This window comes from Homo sapiens, chromosome 2 (assembly GCF_000001405.40).
Source record: "Homo sapiens chromosome 2, GRCh38.p14 Primary Assembly".
Taxonomy (NCBI): domain Eukaryota; kingdom Metazoa; phylum Chordata; class Mammalia; order Primates; family Hominidae; genus Homo; species Homo sapiens.
This window is the reverse complement of record NC_000002.12, coordinates 190,588,421-190,607,157: the sequence shown is the minus strand read 5'-3', so window position 1 is coordinate 190,607,157 and position 18,737 is coordinate 190,588,421. Positions and strand designations below refer to the sequence as shown.

Below are 18,737 nucleotides of genomic sequence, written 5' to 3'. Positions count from 1 at the left end.
GACAAGATTACATTCCTCTGACTGATTCCAGCCCTCGTGAACCCCTTCTTGGGAAACTTGCCTTCAGCACCCGCCATGGGCTGTTCAGATGCCTCCACTCTGAACCCTGGAAGTGCCTCACATGTCAGCACCTATACTGAGGACTCTGGATCAGCACACCAGAGCAGGGATCAAGTCTTCCTCCCTGCATTCCCGGTACAAGGTAGGAAGCCAGGCACCAAGGAAGCTGCCAGTAGGTCTTATTTGAATAAGATTTCTTTAATAAGAGGTCATTTGCTCCACAATTAAATAGAAATTCTTAAAGTAAATGCATTGGGAAAAATTAGCATATCTGTATAAATAAGGCATTTTTAAAAAAAATTAATTGAGCTATTATTATATGCCTGGGATTGTGCTAATGCTTTACTTGGAGTTTCTTGTTGAATTTTCTTTTCTTTTTTATTTTTTTGAGTCAGCGTCTCACTGTGTCGCCAGGCTGGAGTGCAGTGGCACGATCTTGCTCACTGCAACCTCTGCCTCCCAGGTTCAAGCAATTCTCCTGTCTCAGCCTCCCAAGTAGCTGGGATTACAGTCCTGCCCCACCACACCCGGCTAATTTTTGTATTTTTAGTAGAGACGGGGTTTTGCCATGTTGGCCAGGCTGGTCTTGAACTCCTGACCTCAGGTGATCTGCCTGCCTTGGCCTCCCAAAGTGCTGGGATTACAGGCGTAAGCCACCATGCCTGGCCTCTTGTTGAACTTTCACAGCAACCTTAGGAGGCAGATACGATACTTTTCATGTTCGAAATGAGGAACTAATTTCAGACAAGTGAACTTGGCCAGGATCACAGCTAGTGTGCCGCAGAGCTGGGAGTTTCAGTTGGTACACAAGTGATGTTTCCAGAGCCTTCCTGATTTGGGGAAGAGGACAGGAAAAATTTAGGTCACTGGGAATCTAAAAGGAGGAGAGGGGCTGTAACTAGTAGGAAAAAGGAAGTTAGAAAAAAAGGCCACTGAAAGAAAAGACAAACTGTAATCTTCCCTATTTTGGTCCGGCCTTAGCTTAACTGTGAGTGAGTATTTAAATCACAAGCGCAAGACTGGAAGGTGGACACTGTGAAACTCTTGTTCCTCAGATACATTCCATTGAATTCAACCCAACAACATTTATTCAGGATCTATGGTGTGCCAGAAACAGTGTGAGATGTCTGAATTCCAAGTACAGATAATATAGATCTTTGCCCATAAGGAGTTCTCACTTTAGTGGGGCCAAGAGGTACACTGTCAACAGACACTCCAAGCACAACGGTATGTGTTCTATAATCTAGGTATGTGTTAAGAGCTGTGAAAGTGCAGAGAAGCTAAGTTTCCCAGAGAAATCTGAGAGGGTTTTACAGGAGAACTGACATTTGAATTTGGCTTTGGCACATAGAAGATGGCCATGTGGAACAAGAAATGAAAAGTTGAGCAGCTGCAAAAGCATAGACTCAAAAGACATGGTAGGGCTGGGTGCGATGGCTACACCTGTAATCCCAGCACTTTGGGAGGCCAAGGCAGGCAGATCGCCTGAGGTCAGGAGTTCAAGACCAACCTGGCCAACGTGGTGAAACCCCATCTCTACTAAAAATACAAGAAAATTAGCTGGGTGTGGTGGTGGGGGCCTGTAGTCCCAGCTACTCCAGAGGCTGAGGCAGGAGAATTGCTTGAACCTGGGAGGTGAAGGTTGCAGTGACCTGAGATTGCGCCACTGCACTCCAGCCCAGGTGACAGAGCGAGCGAGACTCCATCTCAAAAAAATAAATAAATAAATAAATAAAAATTAAAAAAATTAAAAAAAGACGTGGTAGATTGGGAACAAGCAAAGGAGTTGGGGTCATGGCAGGGAATAGTGGGGCGGGCAGGGGAGGGTGGGACAAGATTGTGAGGTGTTGGTCCTCTATACCATGCCAAGGAATTCTGACCTTATTCTGTGAATTTATAAGAAAGAGAATGACGTAATTAAATGTGTATCTTAGAAAAAATTACTTTAATGTCAACATGGGGGTTTCAGTGAGAGAAAAGTTAGGATTCTTACAAAATGAAAAATGAGAGTTCAGGGGTAGACGTGCACTGTATATGTATGTGTTTATGTTTATGGATATGTATGTGTGAGAAATAATCTGTAGGACTTGGCAACCAACTGAAACAGGAGAGCATGAAAAAGGGAAAAGTCAAGGGTCCCAGGCTTCTGGTTTAAGCAACTAGGTGACTTAACTGAATTAACAAAAACTGGGAACACAGTTTTACGTTCGGTTTTGGTCACAAGGCATGTGAAGTGCTAAAGGGACATTTTTGTGGAGGCAGAAATGATAAGAAATGATACAGGAGGCATGACAATGTGACCCAAGAAGTCAGGTTAGGGAGAGAGCTGAATAACAATATTATCATTTTTTAAAAAATGAATGCTGGACTGCTGGACAACATTAAAACACATCTGGGAGGCAGAGTGGTGCAGTGGACATGAGCTTTGGAGCTGAAGAAACCCAAGCTTCTTGACTTTGCTACTTAGTGCTGTGACCTTGAGAATGTGACCTACCCTCTCCGAATCTCACATGTGAAATGAAGGCAGTATTAATCTGTCTTCAAGGTTGTGTTCAGCCTAGCAATAATGTATGCAAACTCCCAACGGCACTGGGCTGAGTAGGCACATTGTGGTTTCTGTTGTTCAAGCGCGCAGATGGAAAGGGTTGGGTTAAAGGTGAGGAAGCCGACTCACCTGTGTTCAGTAGAAAGAAGGGAAGAGACTATTTGCCAGAAGTACCTGTAGTAAGGCAAGGTGCTGTTACTATCCCTAAAGAAAGGGATCTTCAGGTCCCAGAAGTAGGTGTTGGGGTAGGAAAAAGTCCATACCACCTTTTCCATTTGATCCCTCTAGTCACCCTCAAACGGATGAAATCATTGTACTGTTCGGGTTGGTTTTCAGGGTAACCCTGTCTATGCCCTTTTCCCACTCACTCTCCAAGAAAGAATAAAGTGGGGGAGAGAAGGAAGGAGGCACCTATCGATGGACACGTAGACCATCCCTAGCTGCTTATTCACAACTAGATTCCCTTTCAGGTGCGACACATTCTTTCATTTTATAATAGAGAAAGAAGTAAATGACATTCATTGATTTCAAATTATAATCAGTTCATTAAGTAAAAATGATTAAAATGAGGTCCTTTCCTACTTTGATTAGAAGAAAGAATGAAAATGGTAGAGGAGATCTGAATATGGAAAATGTATGGATGGTTGGGAGGGTTGTTTTAAAAAGGTGGGGGGTGTAAAGAGTAGGAACACAGAAAACATACTCCAGAGTTTGCCCAGTGTTGGTTTCCAATATTTGACAGACATTAGCTGCATGTAAGATTTTTGTTGTACAAAGCTGCCAACAATGGCAACTGTGCATCTAGAAATTTGTGAAGCTGTTGTTATAATTGTTGTTGACTTTGTTCTAAGAGGCTTTCTTCTCTGAGAATCTACAGAACTATCATAGCACTCTCTACTTTCCTAAATGCCAGAGCTCCCCGGGTGTCAACGTTCAGTGCAATTCAGCACACTCTGATGCATTGCATACTAGATGCCAGACACTGCCCCAGGAGTAGGATGGATAAAAGGGAGCCACTGTCTCAGGGAGCTTCCAGTGTGGAGAGAGTGGAAGCAGCTGTGGGGATAGGAGAAGATGAGGATGAGGGAGGCAGATGAACAATGGCTACGGAAACAAATATATTTATTATTTCCCACAAATGACCCGGGCCTTGACCCATTTGCAACCATTACGTAATCACTGAAACAAGTTCAGCTAAATTATTCAAAAATCTCTGAATGTCAATTCCATTTAATTTTAAATAAGAAGCATCTCTGAGAGGGATGATTTTTGGAAGAATGACTAAGGGAAAATATTTTTCCAGCAGGGTTTTTGCACAGGAAAAAATTCATTGCTTCCATCCCCACTTCCCACACCCCACATTCCATACCCCTTGGTGTAAAAATATTTGTATTTAAATAATTTTAAATGTCATACATTTATAATTAAAAGCAATTCTGTGCTCAGAGGAACAGAAATTACTGACTTTAAATCAATGAGAAAAACTAAATTTTCCTCAAAGGAAAATTTCATGAGATTCAAAGTGGTTTAAATCAAGCTAATGGATATAAGCCCATCAGTTACATATGGTCTCTGGTGACCACTGATGTCACTGCCCACCTCCAGCAGCAGTATATAAGGCATTCCAGCAAGGACTCTTCATTTCTCCCAGTCTCTCCTTGCTCCCTCTTCCTTCCCACCTTTCAGTATTCCAGGGCTGGTTTTGCACAAAATGTTTTTGTTTCCTTCAAAACTATGCTTGCCTACAGCTCCTGATTTTGCCTGCTTGACATCCCTTCTTCTAACACAACAGCCTTTCTCCCCATTCTCTGCCCCAGCCAGAAAACTGCACTCCCTTGGCCACAATGACTGGTTCAGCCATGGGCATGTACAGGAAGACAGGGCAGTCACAGCCTTCACCGAGGAAGAAGTAGAGTGGAAAGATGGGGAGGGGTAGATTCCTGGTGACTGAAGGGCACTCCCTGGGTTCCACTCAACCTGTCGTGGTTAACTCTGAGTGTCAACTTGCATAGGCTGTGAAGCCCAGTTGTTTGGTCAAACACCAGTCTAGATGTTATTGCGAAGGTATTTTTAAAAGATGTGATTAACATTAAAATTAGTAGATGTTGGGTACCCGCCATAATGTGTGTGGGCATCATCCAATCAGTTGAAGGCGTTAAGTACAAAGACTGATATTTCCCAAAGAAGAAGGAATTCTCCTCCAGTCTGCAATACAGAAATGCTGCCTGCGTTTCCAGCCTGATGCCCTGCAGAATTTGGAGTCATGACTGTAACGTTAACTCTTACCTGAATTTCCGGCCTGCCAGCCTGCCCTACAAATTGCCCCCACGATCATATGAGCAAATTCCTTAAAATAAATATCTTTCTTTATGTCTATTTCTCCTTCCTTCTCCGCCTCTCTCCCATCTCCCTATCTCAGTCTCTCCTTCCCTCACTGTCTCCTACTGGTTCTATTTCTCCAGAGAACCCTGACTAATACATTAATAAAATCATATTTTCATCCTCAAATTAGTCAGGGTTTTATCTGTGTGTTCATTTTAGCCAGCTTGAGTTGTATTTCCATCACCTGTAACTAAGAGTCTTCAACAGTCCTCGGTGTAAGTGGATGGAATTCCCTATAGGCTAATAAGTGAAAGATTCTTCCAAAATTCTACCTTTCTTATTATTTACTATGCAGCAAGCTACTTAATGGCAGGGATTGTGTCTGATTTTTTTTATTTCTACTGCCGTTGCTTAGAATTCTTAGTACTTGGTCAGGTTAGTAAACATTGGTTGAGCTGAGTTATAGAAGGAGATGGCCTGGAGTGCTTAGCTCCTGGGATTGCCCTGGTACCTGGAGAAACAGATTCTTTGGCATATAAGAAGCCCAACAGTGACCACAGGTTTTTATCATTTGCGTTAAGTATCATAACAAGTAGTTTCAGCAATCATTATTTTCATGGAGTTGCTCGGAAATTATATTTTTATTTCCTTATATGTATATGTCTATTATCAACTTACATAGGTTTCATTCCAGATGTTTGGATTTGGACAGTACACATTTCTTAGCACCATCAAACCAGCACCCTTCCAGGAGCTTTGAGTCAAGACCAACGTAGGCCTGCCATTGCCACATTGTTACACAGCATTAGTTTCCTAGGGTGGCCATAACAAGGCACCACAAAGCGAGCGGCTTAAACAACAGAAAGCTATGGTCTCATAGCTCTGGATGCCAGAAATCTGAGATCAGGGTGCAGACAGGGCATGCTTCCTCCGAAGGCACTATGGAAGGATCGTTCTGGGCCTTTCTCTTAGCTTCTGGTGGTTCCTTGGCTTGTGGCAGCATAACTCCAATCTTCACACAGTGTTCTCTCTGTATATGTGACTGTCTCCAAATGTTGCTTTTTATAAGGACACCTGTCATATTGGATGACAGGCCCACCTGACTCCAGTATTACCTCATCTTAAACTAATTACACTTGCCATGACCCTATTTCCACATAGGGTCACATTTTGAGGTACTAGGGGTTAGGACTTCAACATGAATTTTAGGGAGATACAATTCAACCCACATCAATTGTTTGTACTTGCTCAGCTTTCTGAGCAGCCTTCTCAGGAAGGTACTAGCACTGTGTGACAAGTGGGCAGGGATGCTGGCCGCCAGGGCTGGGGAACACACCACTAAGACCTGACCACATGTTGGGCCATGGCTGCCACCGCACATTCCTGCACTGTCTGAGTCTGTTTTGTGTTGCTATAACAGAATACCTGAGGCTGAGGTAATTTATAAAGAAAAGAGGCTTATTTGGCTCACAATTTTGATGGCTGGAAGGTTCAAGACTGGGCATCTGCATCTGATGAGGGCCTCAGGCTGCTTCAACTCATGGCAAAAGGTGAAAAGGGGGCTGGCACGTGCAAAGAGATCACATGGCAAGAGAGGAAGCAAAAGAGAAACCAAGGAAGCCAGACTCTCTTTAACAACCCAGTCTCTCAGAAACTAATCCATTCTCCAGGAAAGCAAGGATTCACCCACCCCAAGGAGGGCATTCTTCCCTGCATAAAGAATCCACACCCATGACCCAAACACCTCACACTATGCCACACCTCCCAACAGGGCCACACTGGGGGTTAAATTTCAACATGAGTTTTGGCGAAGACAAATGACATTCAAACAATAGCACACGCCAGACAAATAATTTCTAGTCTGGCAGCACTAGCCTCATTCTAAGACTAACACTGATAACCCTCCCCTTGTACTCTACTCTACTGAGTCCCCTTTCCTCCCCCAGTATCTTCTAGTTGGGTTTTAACCTATTTCTTCCTTCTCCTTGAAGAGCCAATAATCAAGCAATGAGAGTTAGAAACAACAGGAAAAGGAATGAGAGGAAGAGCAAGAGGGAATGTTTGTAAAATACCACTGCTAAGATGGCAAGTGTGTTGTGTACTGTGACATACAGAACTAAGATAAGAAACCTTCGAAAACTAATTTTCTAAGGTTCTAGTTGCTCTGTACCGCTCAGACCAGTGAGAGATGTAGGAAGTGACACACACAGGGGCAGCTAGGATGGCACTGTACAGCAGGAGAGTGTGTGTGAAAGCCGCTGTGCTCCCATAAACTCTTCACAGCAGTGCAGGAAGAGGTCATTGGATCTGACTCTTGCCAAGGATAGTCCTCCCAGGTGAGGGAGAGGGAACATGATTGGGATGGGGGGATGGGGCACTGCAAGGTCGGTGAGTTTGTGAAGATGACTTGCCTAAGGGACAGTGAAAATAGGCCCACGTGCCATCTTTGTCATCCCTGCTATAGGTAACAGACACCTACTCTTGGAAAGCTTCCAGTGTAGTTTCGATGCATAGCGAGCTGTGAACACCTGGCTTATATCATTTGGAAATTTTTACATAACTCCTACACAGCCAAGTAAACCGATTCCTGACTAGGGGCACAGCACCTAAAGTAAAAGACACAGAATCAAAAAGCAAGTAAAAATTATAGTTAAAATTAAAATTTTTAAATGCATTGGCAATATTAATACTATTCCTACTGACTGATACTTAATATATTACTAATCAGTAGCAAATATGGAAAAATACAGTGAACAAATTATAGGCCAGAAAGTATATATTTTGTCCATAACTCATCTGAAGTTATAGACATTTCAAGAGTTTTACCTGTGATGTTCCTCGAGGCCTGCCATCTATCCAGATGAAAATAAAAGTTTAGCCCAAAAGCTTCAGCTTTTTTTCATCTACTTGATGCCAAGTAGTAAATAGTGACAGGAAACAGAATTCTCACCACATCTTTGAGTCATATAAGCTAGATGTGTAGTTTTGTACAAATCTAGCCTGCCTTTTATAGCTTCTCTCTTCTATTTCCTGATTTCTGTCCTCTATTTATAGATGGAGAAACTGATAACTTTTGCAGTAGTTAACCTTCACTAATATCAAAATAATGGAGAATAAATTACAGCATGATTTTAGAAGAAACACATCTGATTTTATGACTAAAATCTGCTTAAAGTTGGCACAAGTCCTGGCCCATACTCCTTGTTTGATAAATGTTGGTTGAAACAAATTGAGAAAAAGGGGCCTAGAGAGCCACTAAAAACAAAACAAAACACCATTTGCAGTGTTTTTCTATTATTTGGAGAAAAATATAAATCAAGATAAGATGTAAATGCTGAATAAGGGAGTACTCTTAAACTTCAGATTAAGGTATATTAACGTTAGTCACTCAAGATATGAGGTTTGGTCATAAGGTTATTTGGCAAGGTTAGTATTATATGCAAAGTACAATTTCACTGGTAGTAAAATATTTTAAGTCTGTGCAGCAACATGGCAACATGGATCTAGGTAACTATTACATTCCAATTTAAAATGGTTGCTTTGCTAGCTAGTAGATAAAATGGGTTCTTAAATTTGAGAATCGCAGTAAAGCCTAACTTATTCCACTAAAATGTATTTTCAGCAATGCCTCAAAGTAGTTTGCAAAGTTTTGGGGATGAAAGCAAAACACGACTTGATGCCATTCCAAGTGGAAGGCTGGCAGCGCCACAAGTTATGAAAACAATGAATGAATCAATAGCATTCTTTAAGACAAAGGCTTATATCCATTAAGAAGTGTAGAAAAGCAATTATAAGTTACAGTTTAAAATAATATTTGTAATATTGGCTTGCCTTGGAATAAGATCAATTTCCTAAAAACACTTGTAAGCATCTTTGAGTAACTTCCATAAGTAGAAGAATTTGGAGAATAAATATCTGAATTCTGGAGGAAGCCCTCATTTTCCTTATTCTCCCAAGAGTCTTCTCTTCCCTCTCACTAAAGGTCTTCATCTCAGCCTTAAACAGTGGTTTTCAACCAGGGGTGATTTTGCTCTCCCCTCCCCAGGAAACATTTGGCAATGTCTGGAAATGTTTTTGTTTGTCCTATGGGGGTTGTCGGTAGGGAGAGAGGGAAGGTGCTACCGGCATCTAGTTGGTGGAGTCAGGGATGCTGCTGAACATCCTACAATACACAGGATGGCCCCACAACGAAGAAGACAATGAAGAGGAATCTGTCCCCAAATATCAATAGTTCAGAGACTGAGAAACACTAGCCTAGAGGTATAAATGGGATAGGTGTGTGTATGGTATTGGAACATAAACAAGTAGAATATTTTCATAACTGAACTCTTAAAGCCCTTTGAAACCCATGTAAACTGGTGGCCTTACAAATCAGCAGTTCCAGTAGAGAAATTCCACTTTCAAATTGGATGAGCAAAGAATGCTCAGAGTTGTTTTTTTTTTAATTCTTTGCTCACCCCATCTCCTCAAATAAAAGTTCTGAAGAAAGCATCGTGATAAATAATCAGAGGCACTGTTTCTTTTATTCCAAGGTTTTAGAACTGTGGCTGTGCCTTAGCCTGGGATTCGCAACTACTGTGTTGGGCACCTCCATCAGTTTGGTTTTTATTCTGTCCTGGAAGTTTTTACTGTACATTTTAACATTGATTGCTACACGGACATTCTTTCTACTACCCCTTTCAGTTAGATGCTCTTTTTGTCTTCTCATTCTCCAGGCCCTCATCAACACAGCAAGTAATTTTCAGGTAACATTTTTTTTCCAAGAAAGTTATTTTGTGGATAGTAATGTAGTCTTTATTATTCACAAGCTCTAAGAGACTTCAGCCAAAAGTACAAAAACTATATTTATACTCAGACTTTTCCAATTCTTTTCCCAGGGCTTTTTTTTTCTCCCCTTTATCTCTTAGCCCAAATTCCTAACTCTTCACACAGTCTATTTTAGAAATTAGAAAGCTTTTTTTTTTTTTGGAGACAGAGTCTTGCTGTTTCCCAGGCTGGCGTGCAGTGACATGATCATGGCTCACTGCAGCCTCAACTCCCCAGGGCCCAAGCGATCCTCTTACTTCAGCCTGCTCAGTAGCTAGGACCACAGGAGCACACCACCACACCCAACTAATTAGAAAAATTTTTTTGTAGAGGTGGGGTGCCCCTATGTTGCCCGGGCTAGTCCTGAACTCCTGGGCTCAAGCTATCTCCCTGCCTCAGCTTCCCAAAGTGCTGGGATACACGTGTGAGCCACTGTGCCTGTCCAGAAAACTTAAAAGAAAATGCAAATAATCCTTTTTAAAAAGTTGTAAACACCCACAACATTTTTATGCTTAGTGACTTGATGCCAAATATATATATTCATGGGTGAATGAGTATGTTGGGATGTATAAATGTCATTTGTATATTTATATGCATTTGTATACCAGATTTCCAAATCTAGTTGTTTTCTCTTACTACCCAGAGACAGCAGCACCCCTGACATCACCATACAATTTCATCAGAAGAGTTGAATTATACACAAATTTATAGTAAAGGTAAAAATATGTATCTTGATAGTTTCCTTCCAATAATATTCACCAACCTTTGCTAGAAGAGATGAAAAGACAAGCGACCAATGTTTTTCTATGGGAAGAAAGAAGATTTAGATCTAAGTAAAAATAAGTAGCATCACAGACTTGACAAACTTTTCTAGAGAATTCATTTTCCCCTGCTCTGCAGAGGGCCCCTGACATGGGGCACAGGTCCAGCTGCTGATAGATATGTCCATGCAAACCTTATTCTGTGCTATAATCACCACCTAAAATATGTAAGTGGTGGTGCATACAACCTAATTTTTAAATTATTATTATACTTTAAGTTCTGGGATGCATGTGCAGAAGATGCAGATTTGTTACATAGGTATACACGTGCCATGGTGGTTTGCTGCACCCGTCAACCTGTCATCTACATTAGGTATTTCTCCTAATGCTATCCCTCCCCTAGCCCCTGACTCCCTGACAGGCCCCAATGTGTGATGTTCCCTTCCCTGTGTCCATGTGTTCTCATTGTTCAACTCCCACTTATGAGTGATAACATGCAGCGTTTGGTTTTCTTGTCCTGTGTCAGTTTGCTGAGAATGATGGTTTCCAGCTTCATTCATGTCCCTACAAAAGACATGAACTCATCCTTTTTTATGGCTGCATAGTATTCCATGGTGTATATGTGCCACATTTTCTTTATCTAGTCTATCATTGATGGACATTTGGGTTGGTTCCAAGTATTTGCTATTGTGAACAGTGCTGCAGTAAACATATGTGTGCATGTGTCTTTATAGTAGAATGATTTATAATCCTTTGGGTTTATACCCACTAATGAGATTGCTGGTTCAAATGATATTTCTGGTTATAGGTCCTTGAGGAATCGCCACACTGTCTTCCACAGTGGTTGAACTAATTTACACTTCCATCAACAGTGTAAAAGCGTTCCTATTTCTCCACATCCTCTCCAGCATCTGTTGTTTCCTGACTTTTTAATGATCACCATTCTAACTGGTGTGAGATGGTATCTCGTTGTGGTTTTGATTTGCGTTTCTCTAATGACCAGTGATGATGAGCTTTTTTTCATGTTTGTTGGCCACATAAATGTCTTCTTTCAAGAAGTATCTGTTTATATCCTTCGCACACTTTTTGATGGGGTTGTTTTTTTCTTGTAAATTTGTTTAAGTTCTTTTTAGATTCTGAATATTAGCCCTTTGTCAGATGGATAGATTACAAAAATTTTTTCCCACTCTGTATGTTGCCTGTTCACTCTGATGATAGTTTCTTTTGCTGTGCAGAAGCTCTTTAGTTTAATTAGATCCCATTTGTCAATTTGGGCTTTTGTTGCCATTGCTTTTAGTGTTTTAGTCATGAAGTCTTTGCCCATGCCTATGTCCTGAATGGTATTGCCTAGGTTTTCTTCTAGGGTTTTTATGGTTTTAGGTTTTACATTTAAGTCTTTAATCCATCTTGAGTTAATTTTTGTATAAGGTGTAAGGAAGGGGTCCATTTTCAGTTTTCTGCATATGGCTAGCCAGTGTTCCCAACACCATTTATTAAATAGGGAATCCTTTCCCCCATTTCTTGTTTTTGTCAGGCTTGTCAAAGATCAGATGACAACCTAATTTATTTTAATGTACATCTCCATACTTTAAAATAAGCATTATTTCTTGGCGAGTGTACTCGGCAAGCTTTCTGTTTAAACTGCATATATGATATGATACCAATTTTTAAAAATTGTATGTGTGGATGCATATAGGAAATAAGTCTATATAAATACTTACCAAGATGTTAATACATTTGTATTTTTATTTGGAAGTGGAACTTTTCTTTATACCTCTCTGTATTTTTTACACAGCTTATTTACTTTAATATTCAGAAAAAGTAGTAATTAAGCACAAAATGTTTATGTAAAGACTTCTCAGATGGTACTCCTTGTCCCTCTGATTTACTGGGATTTGCAGCTAACTCTATTCGTTCAATAAACGTTTATTAGCCGGGTGTACTGGCACACGCCTGTAGTCCCAGCTACTCAGGAGTCTGAGGCTGGAGGCTCTCTTGAGCCCAGGAGTTCAAGGAGCTGTGATCACACCACTGCCCTCCAGCCTGAGCAATAGAGAAAGATACTATCTCTAAAAAGAAAAAAACCATTAAAATATAAATATTTTTTGAATACCTACCATGTGCAAGGCCCTGTGCTAATGGCTGTTAGATAAATAGTTTTGCCATTTTACAGAGATCAAACCTTTCCATTAACAGATATTCACCAAGTGCCTATAATGTGTTTAGAGTTGCTGGGAGTTCTAGATAGAGGGTCAAACAAGACATGTTTCTATACTATAGACATGTAAACCAAATAATAATAATGATCATGATGTATGTTTTAAAGGAGATACTTTTGGGTAACATCATGGATGGTGACGGGGGTGGGTGTGTGGCTGCTTTAGTTATGGTAGCTATGAGAAGTCCTTGCTGAAGAGGTTACCTTGGGGTTGAGGCCTGAATATTAGAAGAAGGCAACTTTGTGAAGATAGGACCTCGAGTAAAAGGGATAGCAAGAGGGAAAGACCCAAGATGAGTTCAAGCTCACTATATTCAGGGAACAAAAGCAATGACAAACAAACGAAAGACAGTGGCAGAGAGCAGAGAAGGAAGAGAAGTAAGCAGAGCCAATAGGGCAGCCTTCAGGCCACGGCAATGAGTTTAGTTTGATTCTCATCACATGAGAAGTCATTGGTGAGTTACAGGTGGAGAAGTGATGTTGCCTAGTTTACATTTAATAAAGATCCCACTGGCTTCTGAGTTAACAGTAGATTTTGGGGAAACAAGAGTATAGGCAGGATGCCAGTTGGGAAGCTGTTGAGGTCACAGCTAGAAGCTACCATGTAAGAAGGATGATAGTGGGAGAGAAATATTAAAAACTTTAAAATTGGAAAAATACCTCCCAACTGGGAACAAAAAAGCAAGGGTGGGGGAAGTTCCAATCTTCCATTATATAGCAACAGTTCTGTTTCAACTTTTGTCTTAGAGGGAGTGGCTGAGATTACTATCTCTCAGTGTCCATTCTTTCCTGACTTTTGTACTAGAACTCTCTGAGTTCTAGCTAGACACATGGCCATTTGGTTATAAAGGAATGATCTTATGCCTAAGCACAGACCATTGGGAAATGAAGACAAGTAATGTATGCAGCTTCTTGGTCATCTCCTGAGGGACACAACCACAAGAGAGAAGACTCTTCACTCTTCCCTCAGGCTGGAACTCAGACATGGCATCAACCCAACTTTAACCAGAAAAATACCCTGGGGCATGGTGAAGAAGATAGAGGCACCTGCTTTTCTGAATGACCGCATGGGACAGAGCCCTCTGGCTGGCCTCCATTGCTCACCTTCAATCTGTATCACATGATAAAATGAACTTTCTTTTTCAAGTCATGCTGTATTCTGGGATCTTTTGGTTAGAATCACTTCTTATGTACACTAAGTAATATGGGAAAGCCAACAGAAGCATCTAAGCAGAGAAGCTAGGGCATGGCAGATGCCTTTGCGGCTGATCGGGAGTTTTACAAACATAAGCAAAAAAAGTCTTCTTTTCAATGTCCTTTTGCCTGAGATAGCATAAGACATAGCCAATTGAGAGAAAAACTATTTTGATACTAATTTTGTCAGGAGCCTTATGGCCATACCCAAGCCTTGGGAGAGTTCTGACCCTCAGCTAAGACTCAGGATGAGTAATAGAGGAACAGTCTGATCGTGAACTCTGAATAACATTAAGTTTGTGAAAAAGAAACTAAAAGATAACAGATTTATTTTCTATACCAGTTATTTTTAAGAAATTTTACATTTTGAATTAATTACTCTTAATACAGAAGTATGTCTTCACTATACAAATGTGGAAAATATACCAAGCTCTAAATCAATCAAGCACATTTATGCTAGGCTTTATTGCTCCATCTGTATTGGGTGGATACAGCCAACTATTCTCATCTGGTTGCAGTATACTGAAATTTGGGAGCCTTTCTAACAAAAAAGAGCCTGTCTCTAGGTTTTGGAGGGTAACATACACAACATAAAATGAATGAAGCCATACAAAATATTATAGTAGGTAAGGAAATTATCATCAAATATGGGGAAAACACTATCTCCCTTATGAAGTTTTTGTGAAGATAAAAAAAGAGAATATATGTAAAGCCCCCAGCAAAAAGTGTTGTTGTTATTACCCTTAGTTTCTTTATTTCCTGTACTCAGTCAATTATTTGGCTTTCACATTCCAAAATACTCAGATCTGCCTTGCATCCCCTTAAAGAGCAATCAGGTGATTATTCCCAGTAAACAGATGACTTGACTTTTCTACATCATTCAATGTAGGGATGAGAGTGAAGTGTAGAGAAGGGAGAACAACATTTATGGAACTACTATACATACACTTTAGATTGGTTATCTCCTTTGATTTCCATAACTCAGTGAGGTGATACCATTTCAACGGTTAAACTGGATTTCAACAGAGGTTAAACTTGGCAGTTACATAACCAGGTCATTGTTAATGGCAGAGCTGAAATTCAAGCCCAGAGCTATGTGTCTCCAAAGCTTACTTTTCCCCCCTGCACCTCTGGGGGAGGGGTCTGAGCCTCACAGTGCATAGAATACAGGACTATATGCAACACTCTTAAACACAGTAGAGGACCCCAAAAGCACTTTGCATTCTCAATTTTCTTTTTTAATTGCAAGAAGAATTAATCATTTCCTCCTCCATATTCCCATTTAACATTTTGTAGTTCTTGGTTTATAGGCCTATTTATGATTGCCCCCACTAGCCTGCTAGTTTTTCATGGGCAAACATTTTAGCATCTGTGTATCTTAGTGTCCAGTAAAATACCTGCAAATAGTAGACACTCAACAAATGCTTATTGAATCATCCACAGATTCCCTAACAACAATAATGTGTTATGTCCAGTTGCTGGCCTGCTGGCCATGGCAATTTTCAGGTCTGTCTGTGGGCTTTCTTTAGTCTCCAGGCCCTAATCCTCACAAGGTTTCCATGAGCAGTAGCTATCGCATGTGTGTGAAGACATGTGAAAAACTGTATATCAGAACTGTCACATATTGACTAGTATGAATAATCACTTTTGGAAGTCATGCTTTATAGTGACCACAGAAACCTTTGTTAACAAATGAGAAAACAGCTCTTTTACTTTACCTGAGTTTGAGTGCATGAAAAGGTTCTGAAGGGCAGCACACACACACACGCACACACACGCAGAGCAAGCTAGCATTATCCCTACAGTACTAGGAACCTTCTGAACTGTAATCTCATTGCATGGAGGTGGAATCACAATAGTAAACATGAGAGGTGCTTTCACAACAAATTCTTTGAACATATTCATAGCTATCAGCAATGATATTAGACTCAATTAGGCAACTCTGATTTGAGCTGCAGACAATCTTTACTGTAATTAGTTTCTTTGTTGTACACATTGTCACCACTGAGGAAGGGTCATTAAGTGGCACACTCTCCTATAAGTCATCACACCCTGGACCCTCTAAGTATGATGGCAACTGGCAAAGAAAACACAAAATTTCTCCCCCTGCATGGCAATACAAGGGGGGAACAAATAGTGCCTGAATCCTACTTATTTCCTTTTTTTGTCAAAATGTTCTTAGTATGATCTTGCTGAGTCCATAAGAGCATATGTCACAAAGTTATCACTGTCAGTTTGGGCACACTAGGCAGAAAGGTAAAAAGCAAGCCTCATTCTGTACAGCTGTGTGCTGTACATGTTTTATAATCCAGGCTGTTCTTCATTGTGGGAATATAGCCAAGAACTATGAAGATCTGATATTTTACCCTACTTGCAAGCTAACAAGTTAGCCTGCCATAGTTTTATGAATTCTGGTAGAAGAAATAAGGAAATAAGAATAAGAATCTGGTTAAGACAAAAGGCTTTATTACTCACAACAGTTAGCAGATGAACCAACCAGACTGGCTTGGAGTTGCCATTAGGAGAAAAATAAAAACATCATGCCCAGGAATATTTGGGCAGAGTCCTGAATTTTTAAAATAAGTCTATATAACTCTCACCTCTTTGCTCCTAATCATTACTCAGGAAGCAACTGAGAGTAAATGATCCCTTCCCAGTAAGACTGGCATTGAATGATCAATTGTCTTACTAAGGTGTGTTGATCAGGAGAAGGTGAGGGAAGAAGAATAGGAGATGTTAATGAGGAGACCATTCCAATGTTCCACAATACCAGATGCCCACAGATGGCTCAGTTGACGAGCATGGAAGGTTCATCAAATAACTTCAACATCAGCACACTGTTGAATGACTTTTGTGATAAAAGGCACACTAGTGTCAGACTTCAGATCATTTAGACAGCCCAAAACATGGCATGGATTAGTTTCAAATGCCATAATGGTGTGGCCAGAATTGGATGATCAACTGGAACAAAAACACCATAATCTGGAAAAGAGTCCACAGCAGTGAGGTCCCATGGACTGTCGTGAGAGGGAATCAAAAGTCAAATGTCAATCTGCCATTGCAGGTGGGTCAATGCCCAATGTGATGTGTCCTCCCTTTGTTGCAACTTTTGGCAGAAGTTCCAAGTCTGGCATGCAGTCATAGCATCTGCATCAGGAGCATAGAGACCTTTACTTTGTGCCCAGTCTGTGACCATGGATGTGTTTCCTTGTCCATTATGGTGATGGACCCAGGCAGCAATGATGGCAATCTGGGCAGAACAGGCTTAATCAGCAACCTGAGTCCTGGTACTCTATCAGAGACTGGATTCTTGTCATAGGCTTCATCCAGACAATTCCTTCAGCAGCCACAATTTATCTCCACAGTTTGCAGCCCTAAATAGGGGTATTTGAATTGGCCAGTCTTTAGTTTCTAAGTGGCAGACCAAACAGGTAGGCCATTGGCAATGGCTCGAATCAGTAAAAAATATAACAGGGTTCTTCAAGGATAGCATTGGCCAGAGCCATGAGAACAGCTTGAGTTCTGTCCATGGAGTGGAGCAACCTCCTTCATTTTTGGTTTTGTGTTGCTGACACTGAGGTTGAACAGCCACAGCAGCCCAGTGAATACCACCAGGTTTTGGCTTAATTGAACCAACCAGGCCCAGGATTCTAGGGAAACTGCTGTGAATTGAAGACCTTGTAGAACCAGTGACATTGCTTCAGTTGGCAGTGTGGATAGAGTATTCCCCCAAAGCAATAGGTACCAATCTTACTGGTAAAGCCTAGATGCTACTGAAGTCATGCTGGTTGTGTTCTTAAATGTGACATTTTCATCACATTTGACTAGTGAAGCTTATTGGGTCCTTCCCCACTTGTCAGTCATTGAATCCAAAAGACTCACCCCAAAATAGGAATATCACGTCAGAAAGGCACAAGGCTTCCAAGGGTCAGGCACTCAGTGTTGACAAGAGCACATAGCAAGCTAATAGCCACTTTTTCAAAAGGGGCATTCCTGGTAGCTGCATCAGGGAGGTGATGAGTCTAAAACCTCAAGGGGGAATCTCTGGGTAGAAATGACCTCCTTTTGCTAGAGGCTCCAGTCAACAAAATCATCAGTCAGAGAGACTTGTAGTCCAGAAGGGTCATTAGGGTGATGGGGCCCCAAAGTACAGAGTGTGTTATAACTTGCAGGATAGCTTCCAATGCAGCTTATTCATTTGGGTCCCACTCAGAAGATGCTGATTTGAAAGTTAGCCCATATAAAGATATTCAAATAGAATTCTCTAGTGAGGTACATACTGTCTCTAATACTTGGTAGTAGGGATCAAAAGAGAGCAGTTTTTCCTTGACTACGAAAGAAATTGAGTGATATGTATCCAACCACATAGTACTGAGAAACTTTTCTTGGTCAACAGGCCCGTGAATTTTGTCAGAGTTTATCAGCCACCTCTGATAAGGGTGACTAAACTGAGGCTTCTGACTTGCCAATCAACAAGCTGTCATCTATATAATGAGGGCTTTGGACAGCTCTTCTCAATTAGGATAATCTCTTTTCTGGCAGTTATGGGACAGGCAAGTACAAGCATCAATTCCTACTTACATTGTGATGTGGAAGCAGCAGTAACAGCACATTGAATTGGCCCAAAGGACCCCATCCACAAGGTCAGGCTAGCTTTCTTTCCCCACTATGAACCCTGCCTAACCCCACTAACTGAATTTGCATGCCTTTTCCTCCCACAGGTCTAGGTAGGTTCTGTATTCAACAGAGTCATAAAAGTTTGATTCTCTCTCCAAGATTCCCCGCCATACTGGGATGAATGTGTATGGTCTTTCATTCCCCTTGAGGACAG

General features: G+C 41.0%; 1 protein-coding gene and 1 long non-coding RNA gene across 7 annotated transcripts in view; one reads left to right on the top strand and one right to left on the bottom strand.

The window, feature by feature from the left end:
- NEMP2 (nuclear envelope integral membrane protein 2) overlaps positions 1 to 18,737 on the top strand; it is a 227,365-nt gene that overhangs the window by 41,628 nt on the left and 167,000 nt on the right. For 3 of the 4 annotated variants that reach the window (XM_017003100.2, XM_017003099.1, XM_017003098.2), the window contains exon 1: positions 32 to 202. The exons of the other annotated variant lie outside the window; for it this stretch is intronic. In XM_017003100.2, coding sequence (XP_016858589.1) covers positions 76 to 202 — 127 coding nt within the window. In that variant the 5' untranslated portion in view covers positions 32 to 75. Of the gene's footprint in view, positions 1 to 31; positions 203 to 18,737 lie in introns of those variants that run through there. 4 annotated transcript variants of the gene reach the window in all.
- NEMP2-DT (NEMP2 divergent transcript) overlaps positions 1 to 18,737 on the bottom strand; it is a 104,691-nt gene that overhangs the window by 32,371 nt on the left and 53,583 nt on the right. The gene's annotated exons all lie outside the window — the stretch shown is intronic.